This window comes from Homo sapiens, chromosome 20 (assembly GCF_000001405.40).
Source record: "Homo sapiens chromosome 20, GRCh38.p14 Primary Assembly".
NCBI classification, from domain to species: Eukaryota; Metazoa; Chordata; class Mammalia; order Primates; family Hominidae; genus Homo; species Homo sapiens.
Window position 1 is genome coordinate 56465004 of NC_000020.11, and position 20921 is coordinate 56485924.

General features: G+C 42.7%; 1 protein-coding gene and 1 non-coding gene across 7 annotated transcripts in view; both read left to right on the forward strand.

The window, feature by feature from the left end:
• Positions 1–3623: 3623 nt before the first annotated feature.
• Positions 3624–20921, forward strand: part of RTF2 (replication termination factor 2) — a 50823-nt gene continuing 33525 nt past the window's right edge. For 3 of the 6 annotated variants that reach the window (NM_016407.5, NM_001283036.2, NM_001283037.2), the window contains exons 1-5: positions 3624–3763; positions 8298–8392; positions 9675–9768; positions 11982–12121; positions 19108–19186. In NM_016407.5, coding sequence (NP_057491.2) covers positions 3695–3763; positions 8298–8392; positions 9675–9768; positions 11982–12121; positions 19108–19186 — 477 coding nt within the window. In that variant the 5' untranslated portion in view covers positions 3624–3694. Of the gene's footprint in view, positions 3764–5622; positions 5939–6610; positions 6667–7322; positions 7413–8297; positions 8393–9674; positions 9769–11981; positions 12122–19107; positions 19187–20921 lie in introns of those variants that run through there. The other 3 variants (XM_017027872.2, XM_047440189.1, NM_001283035.2) reach the window with 3 other exon arrangements.
• On the forward strand, positions 10640–10742 carry LOC124904979 (small nucleolar RNA U13). The gene has a single exon (XR_007067770.1). It is a non-coding gene; the product is annotated as a small nucleolar RNA U13 (small nucleolar RNA).

Consider the following 20921-nt stretch of genomic DNA (forward strand, 5'->3'; position numbering starts at 1 on the left):
GGGGGACACACTCAAACCATAGCAGACAGTTTAAAAAATGTTTAATGCCAACTCTTAAAATGAGTTATGGTAAGCTGCAGCTACGGAAGAGCATATGAGCAGAGCTACCAGGAAATCAAACCTGCCATGGCTCAGAAGTCTGAAATGGGCCGGGGGCAGTGGCTCACGCCTGAAATCCCAGCACTTTGGGAGGCCAAGGCGGGTGGATCACAAGGTCAGGAGTTCGAGACCAGCCTGGCCAACATGGTGAAACGCCGTCTCTACTAAAAATACAAAAAATTACCTGGGCGTGGTGGTGTGCGCCTGTAATCCCACCACTTTGGGAGGCCAAGGAGGGCGGACCATGAGGTGAGGAGTTCGAGACCAGCCTGACCAACATGGTGAAACCCCATCTCTATTAAAAATACAAAAACTTAGCCGGGCATGGTGGCATGTGCCTGTAATTGCAGCTACTCAGGAGGCTGAGGCAGGAGAATCGCTTGAACATGGGAGATGGAGGTTGCAGTGAGCCCAGATTGCACCACTGCACTCTAGCCTGGGCAACAGGGTGAGGCTCCATCTCAAAAATAAAAAAATTATATAAAAAAAAGAAGTCTGAAATATTTGAGACCTACTGTAAGGACTTACTATAACAGCATTTAAAGTACTGGTTCTTAGCCTGAGGTTCAGAAGGCTGTGAGTAAAATACAAACATGTATACGCTATGTGAAATGTCGTTATGTGCTAATCAATACTTTTCTGGAGATTTAGTTCAAAGTTTTCATCAAATTCTCAAACAGGTCCAATGACTCCCAAAAGGTTAAGAAATACTGGTTTTACTAGAGGGTAATGATTTTCCTTTTTATCATTTCATTCCTCTGCTTCCCCAAAAATCCATGGCTTGGCTAGGACAAAGTTGTCTCCGAAGATGCTTGTAAGGGAATAACCTTTATTAGTTCATTCAACAAGGCAGTGGAAGAAGAAGCAGACAATGATGACATCTGCTTCCCAGTAGAGCCGGGAGAATAAAACGGCTCAAGTCCAATAAAGCGCTGAACACAGCACCTGACATGGCAGCCAGCTCTCAACACATATTTGCTACCAATGATAATAAACCTCACAAAAGTTCTAGCTGCGTATAGTCTGAGGCACAGAGTAGCCTAGAGACCAATATTCTAAAAGAGGAAACCAATGAGGAAGAGAAAAAAGTCCAGCTGCCTGAGCTAGAACACCAGCACAGCCGGTACTGCTGGGTTTTATCAGCAGCATTTGGGGAAGCAGTTAAGTCAGACGGGCCTCATCGGAGACAGCCCCTCATCTTATACTCCTTTTACTCAGCAGCTATGAGACTCTGAACAAAGACAACTTGCACATCTGAGTCTTGGGGTTTTCATTTGTAAAACAAGAGGGATTATACCTTCTAACTCTTAAGGTTATTGTGAGCCCAAAGTGAAAAAATGCCTACAAATCTCTCAGTGCACGCATGGTCATGGCTTAATAAAGAGCCGCTATTTTTGTTTTTTCTTCCCCAAATGAGAAAAGAACACTGGTTTGAGTCTTTCTAAAGATGCTGGTGTTTCTGCTCTTCTGTATTTGACTTTCTTTCCTTTGCTGTGAGAAAGAACTAATCCTAGCACTCATTCCCGGGTCTCTCACTGCCTATGTGACCTTGAAGGAGTCATTTGATCTTTCCACGCTTCTGTTTCCTCACCAGTAAATGGAATTCTAATAGTACTAACCAGTTTTAGTATCTGCCAAAACTAGGCTTTTCACCCCTTTCTCAATGAATCTGTACTTTCTTTTGGTTTACTGAGGAAATGTACTCATATATTGAGTGTGCCAAAGACTCTTCTAGGCACTGATGATACAATGTGGAATAAAAGTCCTGGCCGGGCTTGGTGGCTCACGGCTGTAATCCCAGCACTTTGGGAGGCCGAGGCAGGTGGATCACCTGAGATCAGGAGTTTGAGACCAGCCTGGCCATCACGGTGAAGCCCCGTCTCTACTAAAAATACAAAAATTAGCCCAGCATGGTGGCGGGCGCCTGTAATCTCAGCGACTGGGGAGGCTGAAGCAGGAGAATCGCTTTGATCCTGGGAGGTTGAGGTTGCAGTGAGCCGAGATCACATCACTGCACTCCAGTCTGGGCAACAGATCGAGACTCTGTCTAAAACAAAACAAAACAAAATGAAGTCCCTACCCTCATAGAGCTTACAGTTATTGTGGTTAGCATAGAAATAAATCATAAATCAATCAGAGACCAACTAATTAAAGGGATTATTTTTTAAAATTCTCATTAATCACAGTAACAAGTACCCCAAGCTTACATATAGCCCTTGAAGTTTCCACATCCACGTATTTTCTGGGCAACTCTTCCCAAGTAAAAAATATTTTCAGCGTTTTTATGTTTCACGTAGGTCAATAGGGTAATATCCAATCATAAAGATCTGCCTTCTTGGCAATGGAGAAATTTTCCCATCATATATATGTACAAATACATACATACATACATACATACATATTAATGACAGAGTCTTGCTCTGTTGCCTAGGCTGGAGTGCAGTGGCATAATCATAAGCTCACTGCAACCTTGAATTCCTGGGCTCAGGCAATCCTTCCTACCCCCTCAGCCTCCGGAGCCGCTAGGACTACAAAAGCTTACCACAACGCCTGGCTAATTTTTCTTTTTCTTTCAAGATGGTGTCTCACCATGTTGTCCAGGCTGACCTGGAACTCCTGGGCTCAGGTGCTCCTCCCGTCTCGGCCTCCCAAAGTGCTGGGATTATAGGCACTTTCCCATAATATTTATAATAATTAAAGGAACAAACAGAGAGATAGACAATCGCCTAAGAGCAGACAGACAATCATGAATTTTTAGCAAGGGATTTGTGTTCTTATAGATAAAATACAGCCTGACTCTTGGAACGGGCATGGCAACATCAGTGTATATTTTATAAGAACTATTATATCGTCTATTAATGATACTTGATTGTTAATAAAATTTTTTTAGCCTGGGCTTCAGGAAACTGTGAATGAAATACACACACGCACAAACTGTATGCAAAATTTCACACACATGCCATCTACAATATGCATGGCAACACCAGAAAGTTCCAGGCCTTAAGGGAGGGTCTTACTTCCTAGAATCTGTTGTAACATCACTTCACAAGATTTGTTGTGAGTGCTTGAGTCACAGTTGGCGCTCAAGAAAGATGCGTTCTCCTTTTAAACACAAAAATGTCCATTGATACAGCAGATTCCGTTCATAGGCATCCTTAATCGCAGAAACAGGAGGGCGGCCCTTTTCCTCAAGGCGCTCTCAGTCCAGGGATGTGCCCGCTCCGCAGCCACACAAGCTGGCGTGGGATAGGGTCAAAGAGCGGTGGATGCGCACGGGCCGCCCACGCCCTCGCTGCCCTCCCGGAGCGTGGGCGAGTGATTCCGATTGTGCAGCAGAAACCCAGGGTCTCACGGGAACGAGGAAACCCGCCCACGCCCAGCCTCCAAGCGACGCTCTCCATGACAACCGGCACTTGGTAACGGCCTCGCCCTGCCCCGCTACGCCGCGCCTAGCGTGCCGCCCCGCCCCGCCCCGCTACGCCACGACCAGCGTGCTGCGTCACGGCGGTGCGCCGGAAGTGGCTGCGGATTTCGCCGGAAATCCCGGAAGTGACAGCTTTGGGGGTTTGCTGCTGGCTCTGACTCCCGTCCTGCGATGGGTTGCGACGGGGGAACAATCCCCAAGAGGCATGAACTGGTGAAGGGGCCGAAGAAGGTTGAGAAGGTCAGTGATGTGGGCCGGCTCTTGGCGACCGGGGGTGGTGGGAATTTGACGACCCCAGAAAACGAGAGGAAGTAAGAAGGGGGAGCCAGCGGAGTTCCAGACCTGGCTGCGGTCTTTTATTCCATTCAGAGGACTCAAAATTAACAACAGTATTAAGAGTGGACATTCAATGGGTGCTGACTATTGCCATTCACTGGACAGTAATCTTAACAGGGGGTATCTCATGTAATTATCACAATAGCCCTATAGCTACATACTGTTGTCCTCATTTTCAGACATGGAAGTTGAGGCTCAAAAGGAGAAATTTGCAAAGCTAGTAAATGGCAGAGCCAGGATTTGAACCCTACCTGCGACTAGTAGCAATAATACAAATACCTAGTGTATACTGAGTTTTGTATACACTAACTTCATTTGCTCAGAGAAGCCTTCCCAAACTGTTCCCTTACCACATCCTTTTATAAACTGTCTTAGCCTGCACACGGCTGTACGTGGTTGATTTGTATCAAGTCTTCCCCGCTAGACGGTAAGTTCCTGATAGCAGAGGCTGTACCCTTTTTTTCTCTGCAACTAGCATGGTTCCTGGCACACTAAATATTTCGAATAAACAAATGAGTGAATAATCCCTGATCTCACAAGTAATCGAGGAAATTATAATAATTTCTTTGCTACTGACGGGGACATTGAGTCCAGGGATATTAAGGTGACTAAGATCACACAGCTGGTAGGTAGTGAAGCCAGGATTCCCATCCACTTATTTGGGATTTCAAAGTTAGCACAAGTAATTACTTTTTAATGATAAAATATTTGTAAAGCACCTAGTAGAGACTTCTTTACAAAAATATTTGTAAAGCACACGTGGAGACTTCATGTATTCTGATTCAGGAGCTGGAGAGCTTGTTTAAAAGGTAAACCCCTTAAGTCACTATTGTATTTGAAGCATTCCAGTGGCTTCCCATCACATTAAGAATAAAATCTCGTCAGACCCTTGAGCAGACCTTGCCTATGTTTCTGACCTCATCTTCTGCCCCTCTCCACCTCTTTCATACTGTTCTAGCTAAACAGGCCTCTTGTTCTTCAACCTGGAGTGTGAGTTCATCAATCTGAAATACTCTTCACTGAGATTGTCACATGATGAGTTTCTTTACTTCATTCAGTTTTTTACTCAAATGTCATCTGTCCACTGTAACTGAAATGTGCCTCACTTCCAATATTCTCTCTTCTCTTCTTAACAGTGCCTACCACTGTGTTGTTTATTGTCTCTTTCCCACGTAGACAGGAACCTTGTGTGTCTTACCTCTGTAACCCCTACCATGTGTCAGCCACATAATAGACACCTAATAAGTATGTGTGAATATGGGAATGAATGAATACCCAAGAGGATGAAGTGTACCCTCTGATCATACGTACATGTAAACAGGCGAATGCTGGATAATTAGCATTCATGAGTGGTTTTTTGGCTTTCACCAAAAAAGTGTTTAGCTCAGTTTTGTTTTCTTGTGCCCAGGGCTGAAAAGGAGTAGCTTAATGAAAGGCTTGACAAGAAACAGGTGTCGGAAGAGGGTAGAAAAGAAGGAAGAGCGATTCAAAAAAGCCAGAATGCCTAGGCAGGATGGATTTTTATTATAACTATTCACACAACAAATGCTTAATAAGTGGTTACCATATATACATTGTTGTAGGCCCCAGGGATATAGCAGTGAACAAGGCAGAGTCTAGCCCTGGTGGAGCTTACATTTCGGATCAATATTGTGAAATCTGCCCTGGTTCCTAACGCAGAGCACCTAAATTCCTTGTAATTTCCTGGGTGACGGGATCATCTTTTGTTCTAATAAGGCAATTATTGGTGGGCTCCTGGATGGGGCCTGGTCACCAGAAACACCAAGCCAAGATTAGAAGCCTGGAACTTTCAGCCCCACCTCACCCCCATCCTTCAGGGAGGAGAAGAGGAATTGGACATGGAGTTAATAATCCATCATGCCTACGTGGTGGGGTCTCCATAAAGATCCCTGAAGTTGAGGGTTTGGAGATTTTCTGGGTTGCCGACAACATCCACATGCCAGGAGAGTTACCCCAACTCCATGAGGACAGCCCTGCACTTGGGACCCTTCCAGATTACTTCTTTATCTGGCTATTTATTTGTATCCTTTAAAATGTATTTGTAATAAATCAGCAATGGTAACTAAACTCTTTCCCCATATCTGTGAGACACTAGCAAATCATCAAACTGGGCGGGGGGATCGTGGTAGCCTTTGATTTATAGACAGTCAGAAGTGCAGGTGACAACTTGAACTTGTGATTGGCATCTAAAGTCGGGGTAGGGACAGTATTATGGGACTGAGCCCTTAACCTTTGGGATCTGAGGCCATATCCAAATAGGTGGTATCAGAATTGAGTTTAATTGTAAGACACCTGGCTGCTATCAGAGAATTGGTTGGTGTGGGGAAAATCCCATACATTTTGTCCGAAGTGTTCTGGAAGTATTGAGTGTTGTGAGTGAAAGTATAGAAAAAACACTTGTCTGGCCAGGCGCGGTGGCTCACGCCTGTAATCCCAGCACTTTGGGAGGCTGAAGCAGGCGGATCATGAGGTCAGGAGATCGAGACCATCCTGGCTAACACAGTGAAACCCTGTCTCCACTAAAAATACAAAAAAGTTGCCGGGCATGGTGGCAGGTGCCTGTAGTCCCAGCTACTCGGGAGGCTGAGGCAGGAGAATGGCGTGAACCCAGGAGGCAGAGCTTGCAGTGAGCCAAGATAGCGCCACTGCACTCCAGCCTGGGCGACAGAGCAAGACTCCGTCTCAAAAAAAAACAAAACAAAACAAAACCACTTGTACTTGTCTTTCCAGTACAGATATGTAAAAACTTAAAAGAAGAAAGACCCTAGGAAAGAAGAGAGACCCTGGTAAACACATTTTTTACTGCTTTTTCGGGGGAAACAATTTTCAAAGCCCTGGATAAGGAGTGATTTGTCACTTTTCTCCCTGTCCCCAACTCTCTGAGGTGCTTTTTGAATATAACCTAATCTCTTGGTGCCTCACTTTCCTCATCTTCAAAAGTAAAAATACTAACTCATAGAGTTTTTCTGAGGATTAAAAAGTTATGGAAACTGCTTAGCACAGTGCCTGGCACACAGTAAGCACTTAAGCAGTTTTTACTTTAAAAATTAAATTCAGAGGGCCAGGTGTGTTGGCTTACGCCTGTAAACTCAGCCCTTTGGGAGATCGAGGCAGGAGAATCACTTGAGCTCAGCAGTTGGAGAACAGCCTGGGCAACACAGGGAGACCTCTTAACAAAAATAAAATAAAATTAGCTGGGAATTGGCGCTTGCTTGTAGTCCTAGCTACTTGGGAGGCTAAGGGGGAGGATTGCTTGAGCCCAGGAGAATTGAGGCTGCAGTGAGCTGTGATTGTGCCACTGCAGCCCAGTCTGGGCAACAGAGCAAGACCCTGTCTCAAAAAATAAATTAATAAAATAAATTCAGCAGGATTGTTTTTGTCTTCTTTTTTTCTTTTCTCTTCCTATTTTCTTCCAAATGTGCTGTCCTGTTAAATTATTCAGATTTGGCATTTGAAGAATGGGAAAGAGTGGTGCAGTCTACACAGTGAAGGAAAAAACAAGAACGGGAAGGAGTGGGACATGGAATATGATGTATGTGAAAATGTCATTCGAGGGCCAGGGAGGGTCTTATGTCTGGATTTTCATACTGGGGATAAAGTTTGATGTATCCCTTAGTGAATAAGCCCCAAAACACTTATTTCTGTTAAATTGAACATTTTATAAAGAATTATGTAGTCTTTGTTCTGAACTTTAAAAAAAAAATGCTTGTCTTCTCAGTTCTTAAGTCTTTAAATTCTGCCGCAACTTAGCAGGCTTTCCCATTGTTAGAAATTAATCTAACACACTTTTTTTTTTCTCTTTTGTATGGCCTCCCTAAGTTATTATTAAGATTCAGATGTTAATATTTGTATGTGGCTTGCATAAACAGTTTAATAATTTTATATAATCTTCTTTTTCTTTGTACATGTCATATTTAGATGGGCGTTTATTTGATGTAGTATTAATTACTTGTGACTTTTAAAATCCTGACTTCAGCCAGGCACAGTTGCTCATGCTTTCAATACCAGCAGTTTGGGTGGCTGAGATGGGCGGATCATTTGAGTCCAGGAGTTTGGGGGCAGCATGGCAAAACCACGTCTCTACAAAAAATACAAAAATTAGCCAGCCCTGGTGGTGTGCACCCATAGTCCCAGCTACTCCAGAGGCTGAGGTGGAAGGTTTGCTTCAGTCCAGGAGGTGGAGGTTGCAGTGAGTGAAGATTGCGCCACTACACTCCAGCCTGGGCAACAGAGTGAGACCCCGTCTCAAAAACAAACAAACAACAAACCAAAAACCCAACTTCCTATGTCATTATCTTTGATTTAAAAAACAAAAATCATTACAGTGCGGTATTACTGAATATACTTTTATATGTAGAATTGTGAACCATGTGTCTTTCAGAGTTGAAAATTAATTGAATTTTTTGTTTTTTATTAGGTCGACAAAGATGCTGAATTAGTGGCCCAATGGAACTATTGTACTCTAAGTCAGGAAATATTAAGACGACCAATAGTTGCCTGTGAACTTGGCAGGTATGGTTTTTACACTTAATCAAGATGAGTTTGTTAAGTGATTTTGAGAATTTTGATGTGTAAATGCAGTTTTCCATTCATCAAGCGTGGATTATCCCAAGCAAATTTGTGAGGCATAGGCTGTCGTTCCCTGTCTCTGAACATAGTTCTGTACTCTTCTAGTCAGTTTGGTTTATTTAATCCATGGTTTGAAAACTGAGGGGCTGGGCTGAGCGCAGTGGCTCACACCTGTAATCCCACCACTTTGGGAGGCTGAGGAGGAAGGGTCACTTAAGTCTAGGAGTTCAAGACCAGTCTGGGCAATGTGGTGAAACCCCACCTCTACAAAAAAATTAAATTAGCCAGGCACCTGGTGGCTGGCATGATCCTGTAGTCCCAGCTGTTCAGGAGGCTGAGGCAGGAGGATCCTGTGAGTCTGGGAGGTTGAAGCTGTAGTAAGCTATAATTCCACCACTGCACCCCAGCCTGTGCAAAAAAAATAGCAAACTCAGGGGCCAATAGAAGCTAAATTATAAGCATAAACACATGAAGGAGCCATGTGAGGAACAGGAGAGAATGGCAGGGAATGGAGAATACTGGAGGGTCCATGTGCTGTCCAAAGCGGGAGCTGCCACTCAGTTCCAGCCAGTTTTTACAGCTCAATGGTGTTGGCCTAGTGATTCCACACCTTCTGGTTTTAATTTTTTTAAAAAAAGAAGAAATACGTACTTATACGTTAAATTTCCCAATTAAAAAAAGCCTTGTTCAGGTTACATTCAGCCTTCTGACTGCCAGTTTGCCACCTTTGATTTAAACTAATTTCTGGCTGGACCCATTGGCTCATGCCTGTGATCCCAGCACTTTGGGAGGCTGAGGTGGGTGGATCACCTGAGGTCAGGAGTTTGAGACCAGCCTGGCCAATATGGTGAAACCCTGTCTCTACTAAAAATATGAAAATTAGCCAGGCATGGTGGCAGGCGCCTGTAATCCCAGCTGCTCGGGAGGCTGAGGCAGGAGAATTGCTTGAATCCGGGAGGCGGAGGTTGCAGTGAGCTGAGATTGCACCATTGCACTCCAGCCGGGGTGACAAGAGTGAAACTCTCTCTCAAATAAATAAATAAATAATTTCCTTCTTTGTATGCTCTGGAAATAGTTGAAACAGGGTTAAATTTACTTTTTAATAATTCAGGGTATTTCTCTTATCAAATGTAAACGACTTTTGGATTGTGTTCAGTTTATTCTTCCTTCTTTGGTTATTTGAAAGTCGCTTGTTGACATAATATTCTAATACTTACTATTGCAGACTTTATAACAAAGATGCCGTCATTGAATTTCTCTTGGACAAATCTGCAGAAAAGGCTCTTGGGAAGGCAGCATCTCACATTAAAAGCATTAAGGTAACACGAGTGATTCTGAAGTGCTGTGAGGGTCTGAACAGTGGCTGAGGTTTATTTTATAGAATTTATACGCCTTAAAGACTGAACTCAGAAATTTGGGATTCCATTCCCACATGGCCATCTAATACAGGTATGATCTTGAGAGGTCACTTAAATCTCAAGCCACGAGTTCCACCATGCATACTTCCTACATTATAAATCTGTTGTAATTTCACCTGTGTGTTGTGCTTTGAAAATTTTGATGTTCTCTATTAATGTTAGGAGGCATTATTTTTGTAATTAAGATTCACCTACTTGGATTTTGGATTTGGAAGATACTTTTGTGAATTAGATAATTTTATGGATCACTGTTAAATCACGTGGCTACCATCTGGTGATTAGAGGTTCTGATTGGCAGTTAAAGTTCTTTCATAAAAGTTGAAAAAACAAGTTTTTTTAATAAGGGAAATTTCTTGAGAGGACACAACTTTTTAAATATGGTCAGTGGGGAAAAAAACTTGGAAAGGTAATGAAGAATTTGAGAACCATCAGGCTAGTCAAACCCTTCATCTCACTGTAAATGACTCACTTGAGGCCCCATGGCTAGCGAAGTACTTAAACCAGAACCAGATCCCCTAACTCCCAGTCTAAGGCTCTAGGTTTTGCCTTCTTTTTCTTTCTTTCTTTCGTATTATTAGGCTTTTTGTTCAAATGCTTGGGGTTGATTATAGGATATGTTCATTTCAGGCAAATTCATAATTCTGAAATGTAGCTAATGATAGTGCTCTAGAAATTATTCTGATTTTAGTGGTCTTTTACCTTGTGGAAGAGAATTTATTCCTGAAAAACCTGTGGTAGTATGAATCATCTTACATCAAAAATGTGATAAACGATTCTTTAGTAGTTCATAATGCTATGATTGGGTTTCCATGTGCACATGTAAGATGTGCCTCTCTCAAGCCTTGTTGTGACATCAGCACATTACCCATCTGATGAGAAAAAAAAACAGTTATTGAAATTAATTCATACAGTTCTATACTTAAAATACTTGTAATATTCAGTTTTATGTGGTTGAATATTTAATGGAAAAAAACTCCAAGAAATTAGAACAGTAAAGAAAAAAAGCATACAAATAAAACAATGCTAATACATAAGATTGTCATTACCGTCAATTGATAGTCCACAAATACTCGGAGCAGAGAACTCAGTGAGACGTGCTCATTCTCGACCAGGAAGCTGATCGTATGAATGGTGATTTGCCTTTCAAGACACTCACCTGCTCTCTAGAGTATTGAAGTCAAAATGGTCTCATTAAATATGAAGAAATGCCTCGAATGCAAAAGTAGAGTTACTGTATCAAATTCCTTATAAAGTTGGGAATTCTTGAAAACCTGAATAGCTGTGTCTTGGAGTGTGACAGTATTTTCTGGCTAATATTCTGCCTTAGCTCGTTAGACCGTGGCCTCAGATTTTACTGTCTATTCAATGATTTTATATATATATTTTTTTGTTTTTGCTTTTTTCAACGATTAAATAAATGTAGATAGTCAGTAACATGAAGCAGCCTCAGAGAGGATTCATCACAGGGAGAAAGCATTCCCTTCTGGGTGGAACTCATGCAGAGCTTTCTGTTAGTGGAGTAATTTTTTATGTAAGAGGGTACTTTTCCTTAAGTTAAAAAGATGTGGATAGTAGAAATAACTGATTTACTTGCTAGTCAGTGAATTGAAAAAAATCTTGTTTTCTGTTTTCTTTTTTTTTTTTTTGAGACGGAGTTTTGCTCTTGTTGTCCAGGCTGGAGTGCAGTGGCACGATCTCAGCTCACTGCAACCTCCTCCTCCCGGGTTCAAGCGATTCTCCTGCCTCAGCCTCCCGAGTAGCTGGGATTACAGGCATGTTCCACCACACCCAGCTAATTTTGTATTTTTAGTAGAGACGGGGTTTCTCCATGTTGGTCAGGCTGGTCTTGAACTCCTGACCTCAGGTGATCCGCCTGCCTCGGCCTCCCAAAGTGCTGGGATTACAGGCATGAGCCACCACACCCGGCCTTGTTTTCTGTTTTCTATATATGGTTTAATATTATATCCATGTTTCTTATGGACCAGAGGAAAGTAACTGTGAGGGAGAGGTTTTGATGGGAAGGGCTGGAATAACAATTTGTTGACTTACGTGGTTAAGGCAAAGGATGATCTGTTTATCAAATGAATTGTTAAAATATTAATGGTTTTTCCCAGAATGTGACAGAGCTGAAGCTTTCTGATAATCCTGCCTGGGAAGGGGATAAAGGAAACACTAAAGGTGACAAGCACGATGACCTCCAGCGGGCGCGTTTCATCTGCCCCGTTGTGGGCCTGGAGATGAACGGCCGACACAGGTTAGTGACGGACCTGGGACAGATGATGTGGGAGGCTGGAGGAATACTGCCGGTTTTGGTGGCAGTGGTGCCGGAGCTTAGCAGTCATGTGGCTTGCTTTCTGGTGTCCTTGGGTTTGGTGGCGCCTTGGAGGAAATGGTGCTTGGTCATGAGCACGTTCATTTCCGTCAGCCATTGCTACGGGACTTCCAGCGAGATCCAGCCTGGTCTGCGGCCTTCCGTTCTTGAGGTGGGGAAACAAAACCTGAAGTGAAGTGGGATTCTGAAAAGTTCTCATGTGACGCTTATGAAACCTGAGTTTAGTTCTTAGATCATCTTTTCCTGTGGGACAGAAAGCAAAGAGCAAATGTTTCCTATCAAGCAAATCCCATTTCCTTCCTGTTACTAATTTTTAATTTTTATTATGTTTTATAGTTTTATTTTTATCCTTTTTTTTTAAGTAGAAATAAGGTCTCACTTTGTTGCCCAGGCTGGTCTTGAATTCCTGGCCTCAAGCGATCCTCCTGCCTCAGCATCCCAAAGTGCTGGGATTGTAGGCGTAAGCCACCACGCCCGGCCACTAATTTTTATTTTTGTAGAGATAGGGTCTCCCTATGTTGCCCAGGCTGGATTCAAATTCCTGGCCTTTAACGATCCTCCCAAAGCGCTGGGATAACATGTGGGAGCCACTGCACCTGATTACAAATGCCAAAAGTTATGCAGTAACAGGCAGAGTTATAGAACCTGTGGTTAATCAGTCAACCAAAGGCTCAAAAACATGGTAATTTGCCTTGAATTTGTAGCTAACAGATTCTCTGGCTGTAGCACTGGGAATCTTATGGTTGAGATGTGTGTAGCAAATGTAAGCAACCTGTATATTTTCCTCTTTAAAAAATACGGACGGTTGAATGGGTTAGTACATGCTTTTTCATAGGATGTCTCACTAAGCAAAAGCGTTAAGCCCTTTCCCCCACTTTTGAGAAGTACAGTCATACCTCGGAGATATTGTGGGTTCTATTCCAGACTACCACAATAAAACAAATATTACTGGAAAGCAAGTCACACAAAATTTTGGTTTCTTAGTACATATAAAAGTTGCCTTTAGCAGCTCACAGTGGCTCCCACCTATAATCCCAGCACTTTGGGAGGCCGAGACAGGAGGATTGCTAGAGGCTAGGAGTTAGAGACCAGCCTGGGTAACATAGTGAGACCCTGTCTTTACGAAACAAAATTTTTTTTTAATTAGCCAGCCATGGTGGCATGTACCTATAGACCTCGCTACTTGGGAGGCTGAGGCAGGAGGATTGCTTGAGCCCAGGAATTCAAGGCTGCAGTGAGGTATGATCATGCCACTGCAGAGCCTGGGTGACAGAGTGGGACCCTGTCTCAAAAAAGAAAGTTATGTTTATACTATAGTCTAGTCTTTTAAGTGTGCAATAGCATTATGTCTAAAAACAAAGTACCTATCTTAATTAAAAATTATTGCTAAAGAATGCTAGCAATCACCTGAACCTTCAGCGAGTCATCATCTTTTTGCTGGTGGAGCCTTGATGTTGCCTTGATGTCGATGGCTGCTAACTGATCAGGATGGTGGTTGCTGAAGGTTCGGGTGGCTGTAGCAGTGTATTACAGTAAGACAGCAATAGAATTTGCTGCATTGATTGACTCTTTCATGAAAGATTTCTCTGTATGTAGCATGTGATGCTGTTTAATAGCATTTTACCCACAGTAGACCTTCTTTCAAAATTGGAATCAGTTGTCTTAAACCCTGCAACTGCTTTATCAATTAAGCTTATGTAATATTTCAAATCTATCATAACAATATTCACAGCATCTTCACCATGGGCAGATTCTGTCTCAAGAAACCACTTTCTTTGCTCATCCATAAGAAGCAACTCTTCATCCATTTGGGTTTTATCGTGAGATTGCAGTAATTCAGTCATCTTCAGGCTCCACTTTTCTCATTCTCTTGCCATTCTACCACATTTGCGTTACTTCCTCCACTAAAGCATTGAACCCCTCCAAGTCGTCCATGAGGGGTGGAATCAGCTTCTTCCAAACTCCTATTAATGTTGATATTCTGCCCTCCTCTCATGAATCACAGATTTTTTTTGTTTGTTTTTTGTTTTTTTGTTTTTTTGAGACGGAGTCCAGCTCTGTTGCCCCGTCTGGAGTGCAGTGGCACAATCTCGGCTCACTGCAACCCCCACCTCCTGGGTTCAAGTAATTCTGCTGCCTCAGCGTCCCGAGTAGCTGGGATTACAGGTGCCCGCCACCGTGCCCAGCTAATGTTTATATTTTTAGTAGAGACAGGGTTTACCATATTGGCCGGGCTGGTCTCAAACTCCTGACCTCAGATGATCTGCCTGCCTCAGCCTCCCAAAGTGCTGGGATTACAGGTGTGAGCCACCACAGCGGGCCAAATCACAGATGTTCTTAATGACATCTAGAATGGTGAATTCTTTCCAGAAGGTTTTCAATTTACTTTGCCCAGATCCATCAGAGGAATGGCAGAGGAAGCCTATGGCAGCTATAGCCTTATGAAATGTATTTTTAAATAAGACTTTAAAGTCAAAGTTCCACCTTGATCCATGGGCTGCAGAATGGTTGTTGTGTTAGCAGCCATGAAAACAACTTTAATCTTGTACATCTCCATCAGAGCTCTTGCGTGACCTAGGTGCATTATCAATGAGCGGTGATATTTTGAAAGGAATCTTTTTTTTTTTTTTTTTTGAGCAGTAAGTCTCAACGCTGGGCTTAAAATATTCCGTAAGCCATGTTATAGACAGATGTGCTCTCATTCAGGCTTGGTTCTTCCATTTCGAGAGTACAGGCAGAGTAGACTTACCATCATTCTTAAGAACCCTAGGGTTTCCAAACGGTAAATGAACATTGGCCCAACTGAAAGTCACCAGGCACGTTAGACCTTAGTGAGAGTCGGCCTGTCCTGATGCTTTGAATCCAGGCATTACTTCTCCTTTTTAGCAGTAGAAGTCCTGGATAGCATCTTCTTTCAACACAGGGCTATTTTATCTACACTAAAAATCTGTTGTCTAGTGTACCCATCTTTATTAATGATTTTAGCTAGATTTTCTGGAGAACTTAATGCAGCTTCTCCATCAGCACTTGCTGCTTCACCTTGCACTTTTATGTTATGGAGACGCCTTCTTTCCCTAAACCTCATGAACCAACTTCTTCCAGTTTCCACCTCTTCCTCTGCAGCTTTCTTGCCTCTGTCAGCCTTCATAGAATTGAAGAGAGTTAGGGCCTTGCTCTGGGTTAGGCTTTGGCTTAAGGATCTGTCACTGTGGCTAGTTTGATCTTCTGTCCAGGCCACTAAAACTTTCTTCATATCAGCAATACGGTTGTTTCACTTTCTTACCATTCATCTGTTTATAGAGTGGCACTTTTAATTTCCTTCAAGAACTTTTCCTTTGCATCCACAGCCTGGCTAAGTGTTTGATTTGAGAGGCTGGATTTTGGCCTGTTTTGGCTTTGGGCCTGCCTTCCTCCCTAAGCTTAATCATTTCTAGCTTTTGATTTAAAGTGAGAGACATGCAATTCTTCTTTTACTTGGACACTTAAAGGCCATTGTAGGGTTCTCAATTGGCCTAATTTCAATATTGTTGTGTCACAGAGAATAGGGAGAACTGAGAAGGAGAGAGATGGGGGAATGGCCAGTTCATGGAGCAGTCAAAACACACACATTTATTAATTGAGTTTACCATCTTATAAGAGTGTTGTTCCTGGCACCCCAAAACAATTACAAAAGTAACATCAAACGTCACTGAGCACAGATCACCGTAACAGATGTAGTAATCATGAAATCATTTGAAATATTTGAGAATTACCAAAATGTGACACAGAGACATGACGTGAGCACATGCTGCTGGGAAGATGCTGACACACCTGCCAGATGCAGGATTGCCGTGAACCTTCAGTCTAAAATAATCACAATATCTGCAAAGCGCAATAAAACAAGGTATGCCTATATCCTTAATAGCTGGTAGTCCAGACTGCCCTCTGGAATCTTCTGTTAAACACACAACATACTGAAAGGTAGCATTTTTTATTACTTTCATTCAGGAAAGGGGTGGGGCAAAGCATCTCGAGTAAGTAAAAATGGTTTCATTGAACTTTAAACAGCAGTATTTAATCCTGAGCATTCTGGCACATTGGCGTCTGTTTATTTAACAGGTGTACATGGACACCCTCTCAGTGTGCCAGGCCGTGTTGCGTGTGGCAGACTGTGCGAGGGGAACTAACTGTCCTGTTCTGAAATGGAACAACGAGGGGCTTCATGGATTTGGAGAGAAGTACAGTTTAGGGTCCAAGGACCTTTTGCTTTTAAATATTACACTCTTCTTCAAATAATCTGAATTTAAACCGCTTAGGGCTCTCTTTTAAACCACCATTGGGGTCAAGTAAGACATATTCTGGGGAACCAGACTCATTTACCTAACCATGTCCCACTTCTGTATATGTGTGTGTATGTGTGTGTGTTTGCATATATATATACACACACATATACACACACGTATGTATATGTTTGTATTTCAGGTGAAAGTCACATAAAATTGGCCATTTTAAAGTGTATGTTTCAGTGGCATTTAGTACATTCACAGTGTTGTACGGTCACCACCTCTATCTGGTTCCAGAACATTTTTATCACCCCAAAAGGAAAATCCTCTGCCCATTACATAGGTACTCCCCATTGCCAGTCTGTTTCTGTCTCAATGGATTTACCTCTTCTGGATATTTCATATGCATAGAATCATACAATATGTAACCTTTCGTGTTTGGCTTCCCACTTGCTTTTAAGAAAACTAGCTCACCCCAGAAGAGGAACTTAGCAGAAACGAGCTCCACAATGGGGTCTCGAGTAGGAGTCCCCTGCAGCCTGTTGCTCTGATTGTGGCTTCCCCTGTTGTTTCTCCTTTGGTTTGCTGGTCAGTCTCTTCTCCTTTTTCTCTTACCCAGTGAATTGAGCTTTGCTTATTTTGACTTTGTCCATCTGTTATTGATAAGAGCCTCCACACTTGAAATTGATGATTGGATTAGTTTGTGTATGGTCATCCCTTGATATGTGTGGGAGATTGGTTCCAAGACCCCCTGTGGATACCAAAATCCATGGATGCTCAGGTCTCTGATATAAAATGGTACAGTATTTGCATATAACCTACACACATCCTCCTGTATACTTTAAATCAACTCAGGATTACATATGATACCTAATACAATATAAATGCTGTGTAAATAGTTGTTATACTGTATTGTTTAAGGAATAATGACAAAAAAGTCTGTGCATGTTCAATATAAATGCATTCATTTTTCCTCCCAAATATTTTTGATCCGGTTTGGTTGAATTGATAGATGCGGAACGCATGGATATAGAGGATATAGAGGGCCAGCTGTATTTAGTAAAGTTTGTATAATAAAGATTTAAATATATAGAAAAATGGAAATAAACTGTTAGTGTAATAAAAACATTGGGCCTTTGTAAAAAGAAAAATAGCTTCCTAATAATTTGTAAGTATCTATAAAATAGGATTTTAAAAATTCTAAACAACATTCAGTGAATTTAGTGCAGTGTTATGAACTGGATTTTGGTTAGGCCAATCTGCGTCTGCTATAATCCCTGGGAAATTAGAGAAAATTTGTCCTTTGGCATTTTTCAAGGAATGCCTAAAGTGAAATATGAAAGTGCTTTATGCTGCTCTCCAGCCGCGGTGGAGGCATTATTCGTTGTTTGATGTTTAATGCTCCCTCCCCCACACCACACACCCATATCCACGCTTCTCCACGCCTCTGCATATAGACGTAGAAATCGACACGTATTCTTCCCAAACTCTCATGGGGTCACATTATATGTATTTAATAACCTCTTTTTTTCTTTCTGTTCTGTCCACCTTGGACATATTTTCACAACCTTGAATACAGATTTACCTTCTTTTTAATAGCCGTTTGGGTGTTTATAATTTATTTGACCATTTCCCTACTGAGGAACATGTAGGTGGCCTCCTTCCTTTCCTTTTTACCTTGCTATACTACACAACTTCCTGAGCACACATTTGTACATTTGCACACTTGTGGGCATGTTTCTGTAAGAAGAAACTCTTAAAAGTCACACTTTACTTGATACTGCCAAATTATCTTCCTAAAGTATTGTACTGTGTTGTATCCACCTGACAACAAATGTGCCTGTATCCTCAGTTTCCAATTGGATACTTTCAATCTCTTTTTTTTTTTTTTAAAGCGACAAGCGACAGAATCTGTCCCAGTTACCTAGGCTGGAGTGCAGTGGCGCTATCATAGCTCAGGCCATCCTCCCACCTCAGCCTCCCTAGTAGCTGGGACTGCAGGGACCCACCATCACACTTGGCTAAGTTTTTAAAAAGATTTTTTTTTAGAGATAGGTTCTCAGTATGTTGCCCAGGCTAATCTCAGACTCCTGGCCTCAAGTGATCCTCCCATTTTGACCTCCCAAAGCACTGGAATTTACAAGTGTGAGCCACTGTGCCCAGCCCCAATCTCCTGAATTACTGCCCGATAGGTAAAAAATGATGTGTCCTGGTTTCAAAAGGCATTTCTTTTAGCATTTGAGGTTAAGAATCCTTTGGTCTTTATATATTTTTTGTACGAACTGCATGTTAGTCCTCTTTGGCCATTTTTCTATTATAGTGTTGACTATTGCTGTATAAGACCTTTTTGAATATTCATAAAATAAGCTCTGAATCTTATATTTATTGAAAATATTTCCTCCCTGAGTTCCTGTTCTTTTGACTTTTGATGTTTGTGGTTTCAGTTTTGATCTTTTTTTTATTTTGGATATAACTGATTTATTTCTTTTTTTCCTGCCCCTTTTCTATGAGAACGTACTGATTTTTTTAATAGAGTAAAATGTAACTATTTTAATCTTTGTGGTTCTTGGCCTTTGTATCAACCGAATAAATGTGAATTGATCATGTGATTAATACAGTCCTTCCCCCACTGGGTTATTTCTCCAGGTTCTGCTTCCTTCGGTGCTGCGGCTGTGTGTTTTCTGAGCGAGCCTTGAAAGAGATAAAAGCGGAAGTTTGCCACACGGTGAGTTCCTGACATGTACCATTTGTTCCTTCTCTGTAGCTGAGGAAATCAGATGGTTTAGGGTCCTTTCCCTCCATTTGTTCTTTCTGAAATCAGCTCTCATAAGTTGCTTTTCTGCTTCCATGGCTCTTGGTTGCTGGAAGTGCAGAATCCACTGGCCTCTTGTCACCTGACCACTGCCTGCCAGTCCAGGTCAGACCACACGAGGGCTGTTTCCTGAATGTGCTGCTGCCTCAGTTTCCTCTAGCAGACCTGCTGTCCTGGAGGGCCTGCTCCCCCATGAGCCCCCATTCCATAGTTCTTACTTCTTCCGTGACTCCCTGGTGCTAAACCTCCTTCCACATTCCCCAAGCACCTTGTTTTCTCACTCCTCCCATCGTAATGTAATTGCGTATGTATGTGTCTGCTTCCCCACCGGACTTAGTTTTTGAGGGTAGGAAACAAGGCTTGTTCATCTCTTTATCCGCAGGGCATATTCTCTCCAGAGCACGTAGCGTGCCCTCAGTAAATGCTCGCATGGGTGGCGAGTAACTAGACATGAGAGCTAGCCTCAGCTCACGTGGAGGAAATACTGATGCTTTGCTTTAATGGCGCTGCTGCTGCTGAAGCCAGAATGTGTGTGTGTCTTGGGTGTACTGCTGGCCCATCGAAAGCGTGCTGCTTCATTTAACGTCATGGATGCCGGCAGCTTCTGACTGTATTTTCCTGTATCAACCCTGTTTGTATTTCATTCCCCTCCCCACTGTGTTGTTGCTCCCTGTTGTGAAAGCCAGCAGCTTTCACTGAGTGATGGTTAGGGGCCATCGTCTCTTCTAGGCACTGATCTGTGGGAAAGCATACTGAATAAGATCCATGAAGGCCCTTGCCCTCCTGCATCCCACATTCTGATTGGAGAGAGAGACCCTCAAGTAGATGAGCAAGGCAGAATCGATTGTGACCGATGCTAGGAAGGAAACACATGAGGCCATGTGATGGAGGGAGAGAGGCTGGCGTAGTGGTGGTCGGCAGAGGCATATCTGGAGGTTTGAGCTGAGACCCGAAGGGCACGAGGGAGCCAGCTGTGCACAGCCTGAGTAGCAGCCTCTTCGGCAGCAGGAACAGCATGTGCAAAAGCTCAGAAGTGACAGAGGACTTTGCGAGTTCAGTGAACAGAAAGTGTGAGAGTGGAGGGCTGGTGAGGGGAGTAGATGAGATTAAAGAGTTAGGCAGGGGTCATCTCATGCAAGGCCTGGGGGCCACACTGGGGCTTATGGATGTTATTCGAAGAGCAGCAGGAAGCCAGAAGGCAGCTGTAAGCCGGATGGGATGTGCATTAATTTTGTTCTAAAAATCCTAGACGTGGAGGAGGACTGGGTGGCTCCCGTTACCTAGGCCCGGAGGCAGGCAGAGGTGAGTGGGGAAGAGGTCAGTGGGGGCGGTGAGTTATGTCCAGTTTGGGGTGACTATGAATAAAGCCTTCATAGAATGAGGAGTCTGTCTTATTAAGCTTTCTTTTAAGAAAAGAAATTCAAATAAAACATTTGGGAATTGGTTGATATTCAGCCAGAAGTATTTATTGTGGCTCCCGTATTAAGATGATGGCATAGATTCCAAGGGAAAATAAGATTTGGATGACATGGTTCCTGCACTCACGGAGATTGCAGTCCTGCAGGAATCATGTTATGTGAGACATCACACTCTATTTTGCTTTTTGAGGCCAGGTACCAAACAGATGGTAAAGATATTGGCACTAAGG